This window comes from Homo sapiens, chromosome 11 (assembly GCF_000001405.40).
Source record: "Homo sapiens chromosome 11, GRCh38.p14 Primary Assembly".
NCBI lineage: Eukaryota > Metazoa > Chordata > Mammalia > Primates > Hominidae > Homo > Homo sapiens.
The window spans coordinates 56,345,573-56,347,220 of record NC_000011.10 but is presented as its reverse complement, the minus strand read 5'-3'; the positions used below and the strand labels follow the sequence as shown (position 1 = coordinate 56,347,220).

The following is a 1,648-nucleotide window of genomic DNA, read 5'->3' as shown; positions in this document are numbered from 1 at the left end:
ATGATTTCGAAAATTGCTTAGGACATATATTACCTGAATATAGTATTTATTTATTCCATTGAGGTGGCAAAGAGTACAGGTTGCTCTAAGAGGACATGTTTTGTCCAGAAAAAGAGGAAAATCTAAGCAGATAGAGTATTTCTACTTTTTTTATGTTATAATTGGTTTGACAGAGTACTAAACAGATTATTGTACCCAACTATGCAACTGAGTATTAAGATATTAAATGGGAATTTTGAATCGATTGGTTAAAGTTCTCTTTAGAGCATCTTTTACTTCTTTGTTCCTTAGGCTGTAGATCAACGGATTCAGCATAGGAATCAACAGGGTATAAAACACTGAGGCCATTTTATCAATAGCCAAAGTATGACTGGACTTGGGTTGCAAGTAAATAAATAACAATGTCCCATAGAACATGATCACCACTGTCAGATGAGAGCTACAGGTGGAGAAGGCTTTGTACCTCCCTTTCCTTGAGTTCATTCTGAGAATGGCCACTAGAATAAACATGTAGGATATGAGAACAATTGAGAGGGAGAAGAGCAAATTACAGCCTGAGAAGATCAAAATTATTAATTCTAATTCATTTGTGTCAGAACAGAGTATGGACATCAGAGGGATACAGTCACAGTAAAAATAGCTGATTATGTTTGAGCCACAGAAGGACAGTTTAAATAACTTAATTGTGAGAAATAGTGACACAAACGTGCTATAGAGATAGGGAACAATTACCAGCACCCAAAGTACTTTCTCTGCCATGATGATCACGTACAGAAGAGGTTTACAGATGGCTACGTAGCGATCATAGGCCATTGCTGATAGAATAAAGAGCTCAGAGATGATGAAAATCTCAAAGAATGCTAGCTGAGTGGCATACCAATTGTAAGAAATTGTGTTTTTGTGCACTATGAAGTTTACTAACATCTTCGGGGCAATGACAGTGGAGTAACCAAGATCAGTGATTGACAAATGTCTAAGGAAAAAGTACATGGGGGTGTGTAGCTTGGAGTCCAAGTAGGTCAAGATAACCATGCCCAGATTGCCTATCACTGTGACCAGATATATGATGAGGAAGAGTCCAAACAGTGGAGCCTGCAGCCCAGGGTTGTCTGTAATCCCCATGAGAATAAATTCAGTCACCTTGGTCACTGCCGTGTGATTGTGTTTTACCACATGATTCATCTTGGTAACTGTGCAAACTAGAAAATCAATATTTATTATATTTGAAACATTATCTTCTAAGAAAATTAACAATTTGATGTATGAGCAATAGAGGTATTTCCTTTATTTCAAATTCTAAATAGAGTCTCCTCTTCCCATCAGGTCAAAACCACACAAAGCTACAGTCACATTCATTAAAACTGTGGTAAAGTATAATTAAAAGGGGCAAGATATTTTGAAGTTGTTGTTTTGATGTAGCTACTATGACCTACTTTTTGGACCCAGAGTCATTTTAATTATGTAAAAATAGCTACCACTTTTGTTTCTGCTTACCACAATTTTCAGGTAATTTGTAAAACAAACATCTATACATTAAACTTTACATTTTTGCTGATCATTGAAAGAAGCAAGACAAGATTTTCAAAACTATAGATGGAGTAATGAATAGGGCAGTAGGAAATCTCTGATCATTATATACATGTCAATA

At 35.9% G+C, this 1,648-nt stretch overlaps 1 protein-coding gene across 1 annotated transcript; it reads right to left on the bottom strand.

The window, feature by feature from the left end:
- Positions 1–222: 222 nt before the first annotated feature.
- OR8K1 (olfactory receptor family 8 subfamily K member 1) lies at positions 223–1,182 on the bottom strand. The gene has a single exon (NM_001002907.1). It carries the CDS (start codon positions 1,180–1,182, stop codon positions 223–225), a length of 960 nt encoding a protein of 319 aa, NP_001002907.1.
- Positions 1,183–1,648: the final 466 nt, after the last annotated feature.

Excerpts from the sequence above, each read along its gene's own strand:
- OR8K1 (NM_001002907.1), bottom strand. The coding sequence starts at position 1,182 with ATGAATCATGTGGTAAAACACAATCACACGGCAGTGACCAAGGTGACT.